Source organism: Homo sapiens, chromosome 2 (genome assembly GCF_000001405.40).
Source record: "Homo sapiens chromosome 2, GRCh38.p14 Primary Assembly".
In the NCBI taxonomy this organism is placed as follows: domain Eukaryota; kingdom Metazoa; phylum Chordata; class Mammalia; order Primates; family Hominidae; genus Homo; species Homo sapiens.
The window spans coordinates 102,070,663-102,090,494 of NC_000002.12; the positions used below are offsets into that span (position 1 = coordinate 102,070,663).

Sequence of the window (19,832 nt, forward strand, 5' to 3'; positions counted from 1 at the left end):
AAAGCCAGGGTAAGGTTCACCGAACCTCCAAGCAAAAATAAATTTCCAGAAGGGGCCCCTTTACTCTGAGGACATTGAATAGCAACAAAAACTACCACTGAAGAGTCATTTTGTCCCAGGCCCTGTGCTGGAAACTTTGAACACCTGTGTTCACCCCTCCCTCATGACACTCATGAAGATATACCATGGCTGTCTTTATTTTCTAGGTGGGAATCTCAGGCTTGAGGGTTGGGGTGGCTTGGGGAAGGTGTGTATCTAAGAGGTAGCTCTTATTTATTTTTACTTCTAGAGATTAAGACACATTCTTTTTCAAGATAGACATGGAACTGTCAAAAAGGATTAAAAGTTAAATAAGGATAAGGTTATGTAAATTGATCTTATGTAAAAAAAAACACTAAGATATTTGAAGACTAGGCATCATTATGTGTTATATCATGATTTTTAAAATGATGCTACCAAGAGTACTTCAGAGGTCCAAAGCTGAAATATATTTGTATACTTATATATATAAAGTAAGGGATACTTATTTAAAACCTCAAAAAATCAGAAGTATGTAAAGGAAGAAATAAAAGCTCCCTCTTCCCTTCTGATTCTAATTTATATCAAATTTATATCTCTATCTGTAGCTCAATTTGCCTTTTTAACTAAATAGGGTGATATCACACATATCATTCCTTAACACTTTTCTCTCTTAACGACTTCTAATGGACATCTATTTGTGGCACTGTATATAGGGCATACTTTCTTGAAAAATCCATTGCATGGTATTTTATTCTTGAATAAATCACTTGCATGGCATTTTATTGTAAGATTGTGTCATAATGTATTTATTCAGTTCCCTGGTGATGGCTTTATCATGTGGCTTTTGGCTGAAAGTATCAGAAAGTGGCCCAAACTGGCTTACATAAATTTACCATCTCATGTAACTGAAGTTCAAAGAAAGAGTGGCTTCTGAGTGGGTTCCATACTACTAGCATAATATTTGGCATTTCCCTGTATGTCCCCTCCTCTGTGTGTTGGTTTTGTTTGAAGATTCTTTCCCTTTATGGTGGCAAAATGGTTTTTGTAGTGGCACCAGGCTTTACAACCTCTTGTGAGGGAAGAGGGAGAAATGCCATGCCTTAATGTGCCAAGAAGGAGGTGTGAGATCCACCCTGGTTGAACCCCATGGTGCCGGTGTCCTCTCCTAGACCAGTGGCTGCCAAGGGCCATCTTCCGAGGAAGCACCTGGACTATACATCCTCCACAATGGGCCCTTAGAATTGGTCCATATTTTTCAAAATTGCAAATAATGTGTAAAATCATTGTACTTGGCCGGGTGTGGTAGCTTATGCCTGTAATCCCAGCACTTTGGGAGGCCGAAGTGGGGGGAATCAGCTGAGGTCAGGAGTTCGAGACCACCCTGGCTGACACGGCAAAACCCCGTCTCTAGTAAAAATACAAAAAAATTAGCTGGGCATGGTGGCCTGTGCCTGTAATCCTAGCTACTAGGGAGGCTGAAGCAGGAGAACTGCTTGAACCCGGGAGGTGGAGGTTGCAGTGAGCCGAGATTGTGCCATTGCACTCCAGCCTGGGTGACAGAGCAAGACTCTGTGTCACCAAAAAAAAAAAAAAAGAAAAAAATTCGTACACTTTACATATAGCACTGTTTACTTGGGCAATTATCTGTTTAGGATAAACTAGAAATAATATTGCTAAGCCAAATAGAATATAGGTTTTAAAAGTTTGGCGCTTTATCCTCCAAAACAGATTTTAATAGTTTACACTTGTAATAGATGTACCTGGTTTCTTATACCTCACTTACTGGAATATTAGAAATCGTTTAGTCTCTACCAAAACATGGCATTTTTCTATTATCTTAATTCACATTTCTTTGGTTATTAGTAATCTTGAACATGTTTTTCACGTCTATTGGCTTTTTGCTTTTTGCTTATTGCTTTTTGCTTCTTTCTTTTTTCTTCTGTGGACTGTTTATTCATGTCTTTTGCAGTATTCTCTCTTGGATTTGTGAGAATTGTTTATTTATTATAAACATTAAACCTTGATTGGTAATACATGTTGCAAATATTTTTCCCTAAGTTTTCATTGATTTGCCAAACTTAGTTTTTTTTTCCAAGTTGTCTTTTCTATGCAAAAGTTTTCGCTTTTTTGTAGGTGAAACTATGAGAAATTTTCCTTTACCATTTCCGAGTTTAATGTCATGCTAAGTCCTTCCTGTCTTGGGAAGATGTGTTCACAGCCCACTGACTGAAGGCCCTTCCCGGCCAGTTCTGAGCTTGAGCTGAGTCAAATGTAAACAGCTCCTGGGGCTGTGGGTATAGAAACTCCCTTTCTCTTTGGGTCTGGAATACCATGATGCCTTTTCCCTGTCCTCATTTTTCTTAAATGTTTTCATTTAATCCAGGCATTATGTACTGGGGGATCAACTATTCGCAAAACTCAGTAAAAGGCGGATTCCCAAGGCTCCACTTTGGATGCAGTAGGTCTGGGGCCAAAGCATGTGAGAAAAAAAGTGTCAGCATTTATTCATTCCACAGCTATTTCATGAGGGTTCAGGGCATCATTCTGGGGACCACGGATACAATACGGTGAACATCATAGACAAGGTTCTTATTCTCATGTAGCCTAAATTCTACTGGGGGAGATGGATAATAGGTGAACAAATAAACAAACAAACTCATCTGGCACCAAAAAGTCCACTAGGCAAAGTGCTGACTGTGAAGAAAAGCTGGGGTGGAAAGAGAGGCCATGGCCCCTGCAAAATGGAATAGGAACAAAGATTTAATCATTTGCCTCTGAAAAATCTCAGTGATGAGTTCCTTCCCTCCCTTCCCTCAACCTCCAGTGTAGAGGAGACTGATGATGATTGACAGGGAAGCACTGGTGGCTTCTCAGAAGTCCATGTGCCTCTTCCACTGCCTTAGTCACCCCTTACTCTGCATTTTCACAGAATCTCAGTGAAATTGCTTAAACCTCTGAGTACCTGAGAGATACTCAGGGCTCTTTCTTGGATGCCAAATAGATAAAATATTGACTCTTAAACATATGTCTGAATTCCTCTTGCCTTTCCAAGGTAGGAGACCATACCATACTCATTTGACAGCACCATTTACGGTCAACAAATCTCTAAGCTCAAAGAAGAGAAGAGGCAAAAAGCAACCCTACCTTATGCAATTAAAAAAAAATCTCCCTTTATAGAGTTTCATTGACCCTTTCTTAAAACCCCCTAAAATGGACGTCAACAATGCCCCTCTTTTATGATGAGAGGATGGAGGAGCAAACAGGTCGAGGGACTTATTCCAATCGAACGTCTCAGTAGCTCAGTCCCAAGGAGCTCTGCCCCAGTAGTGCCACTTCAAGTCCCATGTTCTTTTCATCTTGTGAGTGATGAGCAGCACGTGGTCTCTAGGTTTGCAATATAATTTAGGATTTACTCCTTGGGTTTAGTTTTGGTAACTCTCAAAGAAGTTCAAATATTAAGAATTTTGCTAGCTGTTTTAGTAATCTATTGCTGTGTAACTACCTCTTCCCCTACCCCCAGTCCAGAAAACAACAACCATCTTCTCTTTTCTCGTGGTTCTGTGGGCAGTTCTGCTCCACATGACGTGGTCTGGGGCTGCAGTCCTGTGGATGCTTCTTTGGGCTGGTGAGGTTCCATATGGTGCTTTCACACGTCTGGTGCTTTGGTGAGACAGTGGGGAGGCTGGGCTCAGATGGCAAGCTGTGATGACTGGGCCTATCTGCCCATGTCATCTCTGGGCCTCTCCATATGGTCTTTCTGCATTCTCTCCAGCCGGGTGGCCTATTCCTTACATGGTAGTTTGGGGCTCCTAAAAGTGCAGACATGGAAGCTGTTCAACCTTTGTGAGATGCTGCCCCAGAGCTAGCCTAACATCCCTTCCTCTGCCCTCTATGGGTAAAGCAGAAGCACCAAATTCAAGCTGGGAGGAAAACAAACTTCCTCTTTCAAAGGCGAAAGTGACAAAGAATTTGCAGGCCGTTTAAATCCACCACATTGTCCAGTCAGGAGCACCCATTTTCTCATTGACCTTCTGCTAAGTGAAGAGGTAGAAGGAATTTTCACAATGGCTTTTAGAAAAGTAAAACAATACAGGAAGGGATTTTGCTGTCATTTAAAACATGGTCTGCTCCAGATGGAGGATTTGGTGATTTTTATTTTCTTCTTTACTAAACATTTCTGCATTTCATGAAGTTTTTCAGTGCATCATTTTTATTATCAGAAAAACAATGACATTTTATTAAATATATATATATTTAACTCATTAATTATCTAACTCATTGAATATATATTTTCATTCTATATGTATATATATGTGTGTTTACATATAAACGTGTGTTATGCGTATTCTTTATACATTTTTCTCTTGTTTTTTGAGTTGGACCTTGGCAAAGTCAGTGGTGACACCTGGATTACCTTGTGTTAACTTTAATCAGTTATGTGACATCCATGGGATTGGCAAGTAAAACAAGTTATTGGTAGTGGGAGTTTGAATAGATGGCTTCTAAACACCCTCCCAGACACTGTACCTTCAACTCTCTGATCTCATCCAATCCAGACCAACACTTCTTTACTAAGTTTCTCTGTTAATCAGTTTGCACAGGAAAATGTTTCCATTCAACACATATGTATGATGAGCATGTTGTGACACTGGCTCTGTGTAGACATAGTGGGCACTGAGGAAATCTGGGGATCCTGCCATTAGGAGCTTGTGAGCTGGCGGGGAGCTATGGTGATGCACAAAATTATAACACATGCTAAAAGAACACAGTTAAAAGAGAAATAAAATTTAAATGTTAAAGAGGTGATTACCAGTTATTTGAAAAAAAAATTCACCTCTTTCCAAGGAGATTAGATTTCTACTTTTAGAATTCTTCATACAAATACACATATTTTGAGTTCTTGATCTCAGAACCCCATTGCATATATTGCATGCAACTGGTTTGCAAGTTTTTGGTACACACCCACCCCACACATACCTGATTGCCTACTGCACTTCCTAGAAATGTCGAGGAAGCCTAGATGACAGAAGTTAATTTCTTCCCAGGGAATGTAAAGCATATCTTGGCAGATAAGAACGAAAATACAGGTTAAAGACAGAAGATTTCACTGGGAGTGGCTATGAGGAGCCATTTAAATTTCTAGCAGCAAATGGGTGGCACAATTGGCTTTAAGATGATCAATCTATTGGCAGTGTATCATAGAGCTTCCCAACTTATCTGTGCCAGGGAGGGATCAACAGTGCACACCTGAAACTTATTACAGACTAATTTCAAGTGATATTGTACTGCTTCAGGTATGATATAAGAACTTTATAACGCTTTCATTTCTCCCTTCCTGGTCTTTGTGTTATTATTGCTGCACATTTTCCTTCTACATATGTTATGAGACCCACAATACATTTTTAATTTTGCTTCAGTTATGTTTTGAAATGTTTTAATTAATAAAAATATCTTACTTATGTACCCATGTAGTTACCATTTCTATTGCTTCGTATTCTTTTTTTTTTTTTTTGAGATGGAATCTCACTCTGTCGCCTAGGCTGGAATGCAGTGGTGTGATCTCGGCTCACTGCAAGCTCCGCCTCCCAGGTTCACACCATTCTCCTGCCTCAGCCTCCCAAGTAGCTGGGACTACAGGCGCCTGCCACCATGCCTGGTTAATATTTTGTATTTTTAGTAGAGACGGGGTTTCACCGTGTTAGCCAGGATGGTCTCAATCTCCTGACCTCGTGATCCACCCACCTCATGTTTCCATTTGGTATAATTTTCTTTTTATCTGGAGGGCTTCCTTCAACATTTCTTATAGTGCAGGTCTGCTGGTAACAAATTATTTCAGTTTATAGATGTCTGAAAATGACTTCATTTTATCTTCATTTCTGAAAGACATTTTTGCTGCATAAATTTTTATAGGTCTAGAATTATTTCTTTTAGCCCTTTAAAGATATTGATCTAGGGTCTTTTGGCTTGCATTGTTTCTAATGAGAAATCTGCTGTCATTCTTTTTTCTTTTTTTTGCTCTTCTTTGGCAGCTTTTAAGATTTTCTCTTTAGCAGGTATTGTAAGCATTTGATTATGATGTACCTTAGTGTAGTTGTCTTCATATTTTTTGTATTAGGGCTTGTTGCCCTTCTTGGATCTGTGGGTTTACAGTTACTGTATTTGGGGGGTTTGTAGCCATTATTTATTCAAATTTTTTTTCTATTAATTCCTCTCTCATAATCCCCCCTTGAGGGACTTCCATTACACATATATTTGGATATTTTACATTGTTCTACAATTCATTAATGCTCTGCTCATTTTTTCAATCTTCTTTTCTCACCGCTTAATTTTGGGTAGTTTCTATTGCCATGTCTTGAAATTTACTAATTTTTGTTTTTCTTTCTTTCTTTTTATTTTATTTTTTTTGAGAGAGAGTCTTGCTCTGTTGCCCAGGCTGGAGTATAGTGGTGCAATTTCAGCTCACTGCAACCTCCACCTCCTGGATTCAAGCAATTCTCACATCTCAGCCTCCTGAGTAGCTGGGATTACAGGTGCCTGCCACCATGCTGGTCTAATTTTTGTATTTTTAGAGATGATGGGGTTTTGCCATTTTGGCCAGGCTGGTCTTGAACTCCTGACCTCAGGTGATCCACCCACCTTGGCCTCCCAAAGTGCTGGGATTATAGGTGTGAGCCGTGGCACCCGGCCGAAGTTTACTAATCTTTTCTTTTGTAATGTGAATTTGCCATAATACAATCTAATGTGTTTTCTCAAATCTAAGATACAGCTGATTTTATCTCAATTAGTTATTTTACCTTAAAAAAATCTCTTTTGTGTCTCTGTTCAACATGCTTGATCTTTCCTCTAGCATCTTGGCCTTATAGAATAGTCATAATAAATGTTTTCATGTCCTTGCTTGTTAATTCTTGCTCTGTGTTAGTTCTGCATCAGTTTTGATTGATTCATTTTTCTCCTCCTGTTGGTTATATTTTCCTGCTTCTTTGCATGCATGGTAATTTTTTATTGGATCGTAGGCATTGTGAGTTTGACATTCAGGTTAGACCTAACATATACAGAACACTCCACACAAGAACAGTGAAATACACATTTTTATCCACTGCATGTGGACTATTTTCCAGGGTTGACCATATGTGAAGACATAAAACAATGCTTAGTACACTAAAAAAAGAGAGAAATCATACAAAGTATATTCTCTGATCACAACGAAATGAAATTAGAAATCAATAAAAGAAGAAAATTTAGGAAAGTCACAAATATGTGAAAATTAAACAATATACTCTTAAATATCAAATGGGTCAAAGAAGAAATTAAAAGAGAAATTAAAAATACTGTAAGATTAAAGAAAATGAAAGCACAATACACCAAGCTTATGGGATGCAGCTAAAGCTATACATAGAGAAAAAATTAAAGAAATAAATGAGTATATTACAAAAAAGGATCTTAAATGACTTATCATTCCACTCTAATAAACTAAAAAAGAAGAGAATACTAAATGCCAAATATCAGAAGGAAGTTCATAATTAAGATCAGAGTAGAAATAGATAAAATGGGGAATAGAAAAAAATAGAGAAAATCAACAAACCAAATGTAGGTTATCTTCTCTGAAAAGATAAACAAAACTGGCAAAGCATTCACTGGACTGATCAAAAATTGAAAGATGACTCAAATAACTAAAATCAGGAATTAAAGAGGGGACCTTACAGAAATAAGAGGGATTATAAGGGAATACTACGAAAAAATTATATGCCAACTAATTAAAAAGCCTAGTTGAAAGGCACAAATTCCTAGAAAGACACAACTGAAACTGGATCAAGAAGAAATAGATAATCTGAATGGGACTATAATAAATAAAGACACTGAATTAGCAGTCAAAAAACTTCACACACACACACACACACACACACACACACACACACAAGAAAAAAAAAAGGAAAAAAGCCCATGCCCAGATGGTTTCACTGGTGAATTCCACCAAACATTTAAAAGAGATGAGCAGCAATCCTTCAGAAAACTATTTCAAAAAGTTGAAAAGGAAGGGACACTTGCGAATTCATCCTAGAAAGTCAGTATTACCCCGGTACCAACACCAGATGAAAACATCATATGAAAAGTAAAATAAAGACCAATATCCCTGATGAATACAGACATACAAATCCTCAGCAAAACACTGGACATGAAATAGAGCAGCTATAAAAGAATCATATGCCATGACCAAGTGGGATTTATCCTAAGAATGCAACATTATTTCAACATCCAAAAATCAATCAATGTAATGCAACATATTAATAGAATAAAGGATGGAATTGCATAATCATCTCAATAGATGCAGACAAAATGTCTGATAAAATCTGACACCCTTTCAAGATTAAAAACAACAACAACAACAACAACAAACCAACAAAAATCAGCAGAGTAGTAATAGAAGAGGACTTTCTTAACCTGATAATGGGCATCCAAAAAACCCCACAGCTAACATTATACTTAATGATCAAAGACCAGTAGCTTTCCCTCTGTGATCAGGAAGAAGAGAAGGATGTTTAATCCTACCACTTCTATTCAACATTGTACTAAGAATGCTAGCTAGGGAAATTTGGCAAGAAGAAATAAAATTCATATTGGAAAAAACCAGCTCTATTCTCAAATGACCTGGTCTTGTATATAGAACATTCTAAGGAATCCACTAAAAACTATTAGACTACTAAACAAGCTCAGTAAGTTTGCAAGATACAAAATCAATATATGAAAATTAATTGTATTTTTATATATTAGCAATGAAAAATTTGAAAATGAAATTAAGAAAACAATTCTACTTACAATAGCTTCAAAAAGAATAAAATAGCATAAACTTAAGAAAAGAAGTATAAGACTTGTACACTAAAAGTATAAAATATTATTGAAAGTAATTTTAAAATCGCTCAATTAATTGAAAGACATCCCATGTTCATGAATCAGAAGACTTAACTTTTTTAAAGATGGCAGTACTCCCCAAATGTATCCCAGATTTATCACAATCCTTATGAATATCCAAATTGCCTTTATTGCAGAAATTGAGAAACTGCTCATAAAATACACAAGGAAATGCAAAGGATGGAGAATATCCAAAACAATCTTGAAAAATAACAAAGTCAATGACTTACACTCCCATTTTAAAACTTACTACAAAGCAACGGTATCCAAGACAGTAGGATGTTCTCAGAGTATAAATATAAAAATCAATAAAAATAGAATTAAGAATTCAGAAATATGCCCTTACGTTTATGGTCAATTGGTTCCAAGAAAGATGCCAGCAATTCAGTGGGGGAAAGAATAATCTTCTTAATAAAAGGTGATGGGACATCTGGATATCCACATGTGAAGAAAAAATTTGCATCTCTATCTCATACTGTACACAAAAATTTACTCAAAAAGCAATCATAGAACTAAACGTATGATCTAGAACTGCAAAACTCTTAGAAGGAAATATAAATATAAATCTTTGTGACCTTGAATTGGGCAATGCTTCCTTAAGTATACAGCGCCAGAGCACAAGCAACAACAAAATAGATAATTGCACTTCACCAAAATTAAATCCTTTCATGTTTTAAAGTACTCTCTTAAGAAAGTGAAAATATAGCTCATGGAGTGGGATAAAATATTGGCAAATTATCTGATAATGAACTTGTATCCATAATATGCACAAATCTCTGATAAATTAACAATAAAAAGACAACCCAATTAAAAAGTGAGCAAAAGATTTGAATGGACATTTCGCTGAAGAAGATAGATAAAGGGTTGCTAAGCACATTAAAAGATGCTCGACATTACTGGTCATTAGCAAACGCAAAGCAAAACATACTAAGATGCCATCCACTAGAATGACGGGATGAAAGAGGCCAGAAATAATAAATGTTAGTGAGGACATAGAGAAACTGGTACACTCATTTATTACTGGAAGGAATGTAAGATGGTACAGCTACTTTTAAAATAGTTTGTGGTTCTTTGAAATGTTCAACATAGAGTTGCCATATGACTCAGCAATTCCACTCCTAGGTATCTATGTGACATAATTAACAACACAAAAATCTGTACACCAATTTTCATAGCAACATTATTCAAAATAGCCAAAACATAGAAACAACCCAAATGTCCATTAATGGATGAATGGATTAACAATATGCAGTATATCCAAACAACGGAATATTATTCAGCCATGGAAAGGAGTGAAGTACTACCTATACACAGTACAACATAGAGGAACCTTGAAAGCATTATGCTAAGTGAGAGGAGCTAGTTACAGAAGCCCACACATTGTATAATTCCATTTATATGGAATGCTTAGAATAAGCAAATTTATAGAATCAGAAAGTAGTATATAGATTGCCAGGGGCTAGAAGAAAGGGGAACGAAGAGTGATTGCTAATGAGTATGAAGTTTCTTTTGGGGGTGATGAAAATGCTCTGAAATTGGATAGTGGTGATGGGTGCGCAACTCTATGAATATACTGAAACCCTTTGAATTGTACACTTTTAAAAGGGTAATTTTATGCTGTGTGAATGACATCTCAATAAAATTCTCATTAAAATAAGAATATATGAGAGTATCTATTTCTAACTGTAGAGATTTTTGCAAATCCTGCAGAAATATGCTGAATTAGTTACAACCAGCTAAGGGAGCCTGGGATGGAAGAGTTTGAACCACACCCAATGGCCTGCATCTGGTGCTCTCCCAAGATCCATGGAAATAATCTTCCAACCTGCAATGTACCAGGGCATCTACCAGCCTGGCTCCACGGTGGTTTCAGGCATTGCTCTACAAATGATCAAGTTTTCATTCTAGAGTACGAATGAGGATTGAGTTAGACTAACTGTACAAGGGACAGGAAATAACAGCTCCTTCCCTGTCCTGGGGTCAGTGGTTTGAAAAGCACCCCATCTATCAGTGAATATCCAGCTTCCTGACAAAGAAAAGGGCTAGGGGATTTGCCCCCACCCTGTTTAGAAGGCGAAGGCGAATTAGGCCTGAATGGCGACTTGATTCTCATCTGAATATCAGAGAAACACATGTGTTGCAGGCTACACTGGAAGTCCTAATGGCTTCAGTTTGATAGTGGATTTGGGCTTAATGGTTGAGCAACTCCAGTGGCTTCCTCTCTTGATTACGTTGGTGGCTGTGAGATGAACTACCCAGTCATCAGTCATCATTATCAATGGCCCATTTGCCTGGGATGCTTTGGAAGAATGAAAGAGAGTAAAGGCAGTTCTACTTTTAAAGAAGTTAAAACATGGGCTACAGAGCATTTTCGTTTATTGTTTATCAAATGTTAGCCTGCCTCAGAATACCTGGAGGGCACAGATTCCTAGGTCCCACCTCTGGAGCTGCTAAGTCAGTTGATGTGGGCAAATAACCTAACACCTTGGCATTCACTTCCAGGTTTTCTTCATTTCCTCGTCCTCCCTTTCCTTCTTCAAATGTTCTCCTGTTCCTTCTTGGCTTTATAACTATCTTTGTCTCTGCTTCCCTTCCTATACATTGCCTTAATTAATCCTTTAATTTAGATTAAATTAAAGGATAAATATAAATTAAAGGATAAATTAAAGGATAAATCTAATCCTTTAATTTAAATATTATTTCTGGAGATATATTTGCCATGTGATCCATTTTGTTTGTTAGAAAAACACAAGAGAAAAAAATTGCTGATAATCTTCTCAAAAAGGATTATCTTGTTTGTTCTAAAGCCAAGGATGTATAGTGCATCTTGGAATGTTTTGGATTGAGGTGGGACATTTGCTTTCTTTTTGTTTTCAAACATCATTAATTTACTTGGTATAAGAACTTCAGAATCAGCATAAAGTAAAAGTAGTTTCTTAGGAATAGTGTCATGATAATTCCATGCACTTAACATGAGGTAGGTGATAACGGAAGTAGTGGTTTTCTTGATTTTTCTTATTCAAACTGCTTCATCAAACAAAACAAAACAGAACAAACGCCCTGGAGACAGAGAGTCTTATTGTGCCATAGTATTTCTCTTTCTCTCTCTTTTTTAAATATTTCAAGCGAGCATGCCATCAGCAGGGCTGTCTTCACTGAGCTATTTGTTGCTGGGAGATGTTGTAGACTGTTGCTCGGTCAGTGCAAATGAGAGCTGCTAGCCTCGCTGTAACCTCGCTGGCTGGGTACTCTCAGAGATTGTTAAGAGTTTTAAAATTTTTCTAATCACTAAGCATGTTAGGAAACCAGAGCTTTGTGTATGAAGAACAACTTCCTCTCAGGGACTGTACTCAAGGCTGAGGTTTGGACCTCAGCCAATTTTATGAACGAACAGGAACAATGTCAAAAACATCAGGATTCCTGGTCATGAGGACCAGAGGGGGCCACTCCAATGGGATGGTAAGCTTCTGTAGGGCTGGCACGTGACTTTGCACCCCTGATGCTCCGCATGAAGGGATTTTCTGCACCCAGCAAGTGCTGACTGATTTCCTGAGGACACTTAGTCCTACTCTAAACTCTAAGAAGGTCTAGGGCCACATCAGGAAAGTGAGATTCATGCACTGACTCATTTCCACACTTCAGAGGACACTTTCTTTGAGTGGGTGTTTGGAAAAAAATGCAAGGTAGATGTAATTCTCCACACATCAGCTGATGACTCGTACTGACAGTGTCTAGAATAGAACTTTTTTTTTCCTTTTGGGTAGGTACCTTCTCCCCAGATGGATGGTGTGTTCCCCAGAGTGCCGAGGTATTTCTGGGTGAAGTAATATTGTTCCCTTGTGTGTAATCCTACTAGTTCTCTTTCATGAAGTAGCTGGAATGTCTGAGTGGTCAAGGGTAATCCCTGAGCTGGCCTTGACACAAACAGATACGGGCTCTTCCATCCTTGGGTCCCTCTGTTCTGACACCTGATGACACACTTAGGAGTTTTCCTCTAGTACCTAAAACTATAGTTAGTAGGTACTTAGAAACAATTACAAGCTGTGCTAATGCTTTTTAAAAGTGGAAATATCGGCCAGGTGTGGTGGCTCACACCTGCAATCCCAGCACTTTGGGACGCCGAGGCAGGTGGATCACGAGGTCAGGAGTTCAAGACCAGCCTGACCAATATGGTGAAACCCCATCTCTACTAAAAATACAAAAATTAGCCAGGCATGGTGATGGGCGCCTGTAATCCCAGCTACTCAGGAGGCTGAGGCAGGAGAATTGCTTGAACCTGGGAGGCAGAGGTTGCAGTGAGCCGAGATCACGCCACTGCACTCCAGCTTAAGCGACTGAGCAAGACTCCGCCTCAAAAAAAAAAAAGTGGAAATAGCAATATGTGCTTTAGCTAAATATTAATTTTGTTTTTGCCCTGCCTTTTAGCTCTGTGGTCTTGACCAAGGCCTCATAGCGACTCTGAATCTCTTGCGACTCTGAATCTCTTGCGACTCTGAATCTCTCGCAATCTCAATTTTCTTGTTTGCAAAACTAAGATGTAGCAGTTATAATGTGAGGCGCAAATGAGAAAGGCCATACAAAAACCCTAACCAAAAAATCCAGTAAAATGAAGCTCAGTTAAACTAAAGACAGCCCGTTGACATCTTTTGTGCGTTTCCTCCTTGGTTCCCAGGAATGCTGGAAAAAGAGGCATTTGTTCTAAACATGGAAATGCAGCAAAATAATGATTCTTTTATGGCCTGGTGGTCTGGTTTGACACAATCAATAACTAAAATAAATACACACAGCGTACAGCCCTGTAATAATAGAGGTTGCTCGGAATCAACTCACAGTAGTAAAAATCCTGGTTGAGAAATTATCCCCAAAGATGATATGATTTTATCGCCCCGTACAAAGTTAACCAGTCTTATACATAATATGGATCTTTTCAAACTTTTAAATGAAGTATAATGCATACACAGAACAGTGAACTCATCATGGGCAACTAAATTAATTTTCACAAAATCATATTTTGTGAATATGCTATGATTTATTAATACATTGTACTGCTGATGAACATTTGGATAGTTTCTGGTTTTTGGCTAATAAATATAGGGCTGCTATGAGTATTTTTGTATACATACTTTGGTTGACATTTCTACTATTTTCTGTTGGTCTTGTACCTGTGAGTGAAATTACTGAGTCATAAGATATGTATTTGTTCCTCAGCAGTAGTTACTGCTGCCACACAGCATGGTTCTGCTAATATGTACTTCCAGTGGGAATGTTTGACAGTTCCAGCTGATGGAAATCTTTACCAGCGTTTAATATTTTCTCTTATTCATTTTCACCATTCTGGTAAGAGTGTCCCGCAATTTCATTCTGGCTTTAATTGAATTTCCCCAATGGCTAATGCAGTTGAACACTTTTTCAAATTATTTTTTGGCCATTTAAATATTTTCTTTTGTTAAGGATCAGTTCAACCTTTTGTTTGTATTTCTATTGGGTTACCTAGATTTTTCTTACTGATTTGCAGTGGTTTTTAATGCATTCTGGGTAAGAACACTTTGTCAGCAGTATCTATTCCAAATACCTGCTTCAACTCTGTGGATTGCATTTCATTTCCCTAATGGTGTCTTTGGATGAACACACCTTGATTTATCAATAGTCTTTCTTTGATTATTAGAATATTTTGTGTCTGTTTTACAACTATTTGCCTACTCCAAAGTCATAAAAATTTTCTCCTGTGCATTTCTTTAAAGGCTTTATTGTTTTACTTTTCACATTCAGATCTGCAGACCAACAATTAAGATTTGGATATGGTATTAAGCAGTGGCTCAAGGTTCAATTTTCATTTCTCCATTTGACTATCCAAATGATTCAGTGCCATTTAGAGAAATGAATACTCTTTTCTCTCTTCAGTTCAGTGGCGTGTTGGGCATAAATCAGGTAACTATGTAGGTGTGTATGAGTCTTTTTCTGGACTATTCATTCTATTGCATTGGCCAGTTTGTATAAATTTTCACTGAAATGCTGTCCTAATTACTATAGCCCTGATATAAAATGCTATCTAGTAGGGTAAGTCTTTACTATTCCTCAAGATTGCCATAGCTATTATTTGCATTTAATATTTTCATATGAATTTTAAAATCACCTGTCAATTCCCACAAAATACCAACAGCGATTTTGATTGGGATTGCAATTAATTTATAAATCAATTTGGGAATAACTGACAACTTTACAACATCAAATCTTTCAATTATTGAACATGCTACATTGTATAGCTCCATTTATAAGATATTCTTTAACTTCTCTTGGCAATTTTTAAAATTTTTCAGTGTAGGGAACTTACATGTTTTTCATATTTTCAGAAGAATCACTGTCTGTGTCAGCAATAGCTTTATTTTTAGGTGGTTACTATTTTTAGTGAGCTTGTACATGAAGTAATTTTTGAAACATTTCATTTATGACTTGTTCGTTGATAGAAATAAAAGTGATTTTAATATTGACCTTTTATCCACTAGCACTGCTAAACTTGTTTACTGATTTTAATAATCTGTACATGCTTGTGAATATTCCAGAAAAACAATCATGCCATCTGCAAATAATGGCATTAATTTTTAAAGGGTGGTTTCACTGGGTAAGATTTCTTAATTGACAGTTTAGTTTTCTTTAGGTGCTTAGAGTATGTTGTTCCAATGCCTTTTGGCCTCCGTACTTTCTCATAAGAATTCAGTTGTTAATCACTTCATTGTATTTCCTGTATGTGATGGGTCGTTTTTCTCTAGCTGCTCTCAGGATATTTTCTTTATCATTGGCTTTTAACAATTTGCTTATGATGTGCTTTCTTTGTGATTATTCTTTGTTGGGTTGTATTGAGCTTGTTGAATATGTAAATTAATATTTTTCACTGTTTGAAAAGTTGTCAGTCATTATTACTTTAAATATTTTCTACGCCTTTCTCCCCCTCTTTTTTTTTGGGGATTTTAATTACATATATTTTGGCAGAGCCAGGGGCTCTGTTTATTTTTCAACAGACTTTTTTTCTTTGTGATCTTTCAACTGTGTAAAAAACTCACTAGTTCTTTATCTGTCACTAATCTGCTCTGGGAATCACCTCGTAAATTAAAAAATTCTCGTTACTGTTCTTTCCAGCTGTTTTTAAACGTTATCTAGCCTCCCTTTCTCTCTCAAAGATTTTATATTTGTTCACTCATCAATATCTTATTTAAAAATTATTTGAACATGTTTCTCTTTATTTTTTTGAGCATATTGATACACAACATGTGGACCTACTCAGAGTGACCTACATTTTTGAAGCCCATATTTTTTAAGATGTAGAATTCCAGTTTTGCAATTATTTTCCACTCACACATTAAATATATTATAGGTGTATCTCAGAGATATTGTGGATTTGCTTCCAAACCACTGCAGAAAAGTGAATATTGCAATAAAGCAAGTCACAATTTCTTTTTTTTTTGGTTACCCATTGCATGTAAAAGTTATGTTTACACTATACTGTAGTCTATTAAATGTATGGTAGCTTTATGTCTAAAAAACAATGTACATATCTTAGTTAAAAATACTTTTTCACTTAAAAATGCTAACAATGATCTAAGGCTTCAGTAAGTTGTAATCTTTTTGCTAGTGGGAGGTCTACCCTTGATGTTGATGGCTGCTGACTGACCAGAGTGGTGGCTGCTGAAGGTTGGGGTAGCTGTGGCAATTTCTTAAAATAAGACAACAATTAACCATGCCACAGCGATCAACTCTTCTCCTCTTGAAAGATTTCTCTGTAGCATGTGATGCTGTTTGACAGCATTTTACCCAAAGTAGAACTTCTTTCAAGATTGGAGTTAATCCTCTCAAACCCTGACACTGCTTTCTCAATTCAGTTTAGGTAATATTCATAATCCTTTTGATATGGTTTGGCTCTGTGTCCCCACCCAAATCTAATGTCAAATTGTAATTCTCGTGCATCAGGGGAGGGACCTGGTGGGAGGTGACTGGATCATGGGAGCTGTTCTCATGATAGTGAGTGTGAGTTCTCATGAGGTTTGATGGTTTAAAGGTGTGGCATGTTCCCCCTTGCTCTCTCTCCGTCTCTCCTGCCACCGTGTAAGACGTGCCTTGCTTCCTCTTCACCTTCTTCCATGATTGCAAGCTTCCTGAGGCTGCTCCAGCTATGTGGAACTGTGGGTCAATTAAACCTCTTTCCTTCGTAAATTACTCAGTTCTTTCTTTATAGCAGTGTGAAAATGGACTAATATACCCATGTTGTCATTTCAGCAAATGTTCACAGCATCTTCACCAAGAGTGGATTCCATGTCAAGAAATCACTTTCTTTGCTCAACCATAAGAAACAACTCCTCATTCATCCAAATTTGGTCATGAGACTGCAGCAATTGATTCCACCTTCAGGCTCCACTTTTAATTCTAGTTCTCTTGCTATTTTCACCACATCTGCAGTTACTTCCTCTACTGAAGTCTTGAACCCCTTAAAGTCATCCACGAGGGTTGGAGTCAACTTCTAAACTCCTGTTAATGTTGATATGTTGACCTCCTCTCATTAACCATGAATGTTCTTAATGACATCTAGAATGGTGAATCCTTTCCAGAAAGTTTTCCATTTACTTTTCCAGTTCCATCAGAAAAATCACTATCTATGGCACCTATAGCCTTACAAAATGTATTTCTTAAATAATAAGAATTGAAAGTCAAAATTACCTCTTGATCCAATGGAAATTGTGTTAGCAGGCATGAAAAAACATTAATCTCTTTTTACATCTTCATCAGAGCCCTTGGATGACCAGTTCCCTTGCCAATGAACAGTGATATTTTTACAGGAATCTTTTTTTTTTTCCCCTGAGAACTAGCTCTCAACAGTGGGCTTAAAATATTCAGTAAACCATGCTGTAAACAGATGTGCTGTCATTCAGGCTTTGTTGTTAAGTTTATAGCGCATAGGTAGAGTAGATGTAGCCTAAGTTTTGAAATGAGAAATGGACGTTGGCGTCAACTTAAAGTCACCAGCTTTATTAGCTCCTAATAAGAAAGTCAGCTTGTCCCTTGAAGCTTCAAAACCAGACGTTGACTTCTTTTCTCCACTATAAAAGTCCTAGATGGCATTTTCTTCCAACAGAAGGCTGTTTTGTCTACATTGCAAATCTGTTGTTTAGTGTAGCCACCTTCATCAATGATCTTACCTAGATATGTGTAACTTGCTGCAGCTTCTACATTAACACTAGCTGCTTCATCTTGCACTTTTGTGTTATGGAGATGGCGTCTTTCCTTCAACCTCATGAACCAACCTCTGCTAGCTTCCAACTTTTCTTCTGCAGGTTTCTCACCTCTCTCAGCCTTCCTAAAATTGAAGAGTTAGGGCCTTGCTCTGTGTTAGGCTTTGGATTAAGAGAATGTTGGGTCTGTTTTGATCTATTATTGACACTACTGAAACTTTCTCCATATCAACAATAAGGCTGTTTTGCTTTCTGATCATTTGTGTGTTCACTGGAGTAGCACTTTTAATGTCCTTCAAGTATTTTTACTTTGCACTCACAACTTTTCTAACCATCTGGTGCAAGAGGCCTAGCTTTCATCCCATCTTGGCTTTCAACATGCCTAAGCTTCATCATTTCTTGTTTTTATTAAAGTGAGAGAATTGTGACTCTTCTTTGAATGCTTAGAGGTCTTTGTAGGGCTATTAATTGACCTAATTTCAATATTGTTGCATCTCAGAGAATAGGAAGGAGACAGAGAGATGGGGGAGTAGCTGGTCTGTGGGACAGTCAGAACACATTTATTAACTTTTCTGTCTTATGAGTGTGGTTTGTGTCACCTCAAAACAATTACGATAGTAACATCAGATATTGCTGATTGCAGATCACCATAACATATAATAATAATAAAGTTTGAAATAGTGTGGGAATTACCAAAATGTGACACAGAGATATGAAGTTACCACATGCTGTTGGAAAAATGGAGCTGATAGAGCCAGATGCATGGTTGCCACAAACCTTCAATTTGTAAAACAAAACAAAAACCCCCACAGTATCTGTGAGGTACAATAAAGCAAAGTGAAATAAAATGAGGTCTGTTTGTACCTCGTTGTCTTCTAGTTTTCACTGTTTCTATCAAGGAGGCAGTTGTAAGTCTTCCTCTGAATGCCTTTGTTTCTCTGACTGCTTTTAAATTGTTGCTATTTTGTCTGTGGTATTCAAGAGTTTTATTATGATGGGTCAAGGTGTAGTTATCTTTGGTTTATCTTTTTTTTTTTTTTTTTGAGACAGAGTCTCACTCTGTTGCTCAGGCTGGAGTGCAGTGGTACGATCTCGGCTCACTGCAAGCTCCACCTCCCGGGTTCACGCCATTCTCCTGCCTCAGCCTCCTGAGTAGCTGGGACTACAGGTGCCCGCCACCACACCCGGCTAATTTTTTTGTATTTTTAGTAGAGACAGGGTTTCACCATGTTAGCCAGGATGGTCTCGATCTCCTGACCTCATGATCCGCCTGCCTCAGCCTCCCAAAGGGCTAGGATTACAGGCATGAGCCACTGCGCCCAGCCTATCCTTTTTTTTTCAATTTTTTTTTTTTTTTTGTAATTTGGCCTTCTAGTCCTTTGTCCCCTCCTCATCACCACCACCACCTACCATGGGGAGTTTTGGGTGCAGGAACCTAAATCCCCACAAAGGTTCTATGTTGGGGGTATGTAATAACAAATAAGTCAATCAGATCAAATATTATTTTCCCACCAACTTGGAATTTGCTAAGCCCCATGAAAATGTGGTTCACCAGTTTTGAAAAACGTTTGGCCACTATCTCTTCAACTGTTGCTTCTGATTTGCTCTTTCTGTCTTCTTCTAAGATTAATTATACATATGTTAGACTTCTTGAGTATATCATGCATATCTCTTACGCTCTTTTTA

At 37.6% G+C, this 19,832-nt stretch overlaps 1 protein-coding gene across 3 annotated transcripts in view; it reads left to right on the top strand.

Moving 5' to 3' along the window:
- Positions 1 to 19,832, top strand: part of IL1R1 (interleukin 1 receptor type 1) — a 109,485-nt gene that overhangs the window by 273 nt on the left and 89,380 nt on the right. The window lies entirely within an intron of this gene.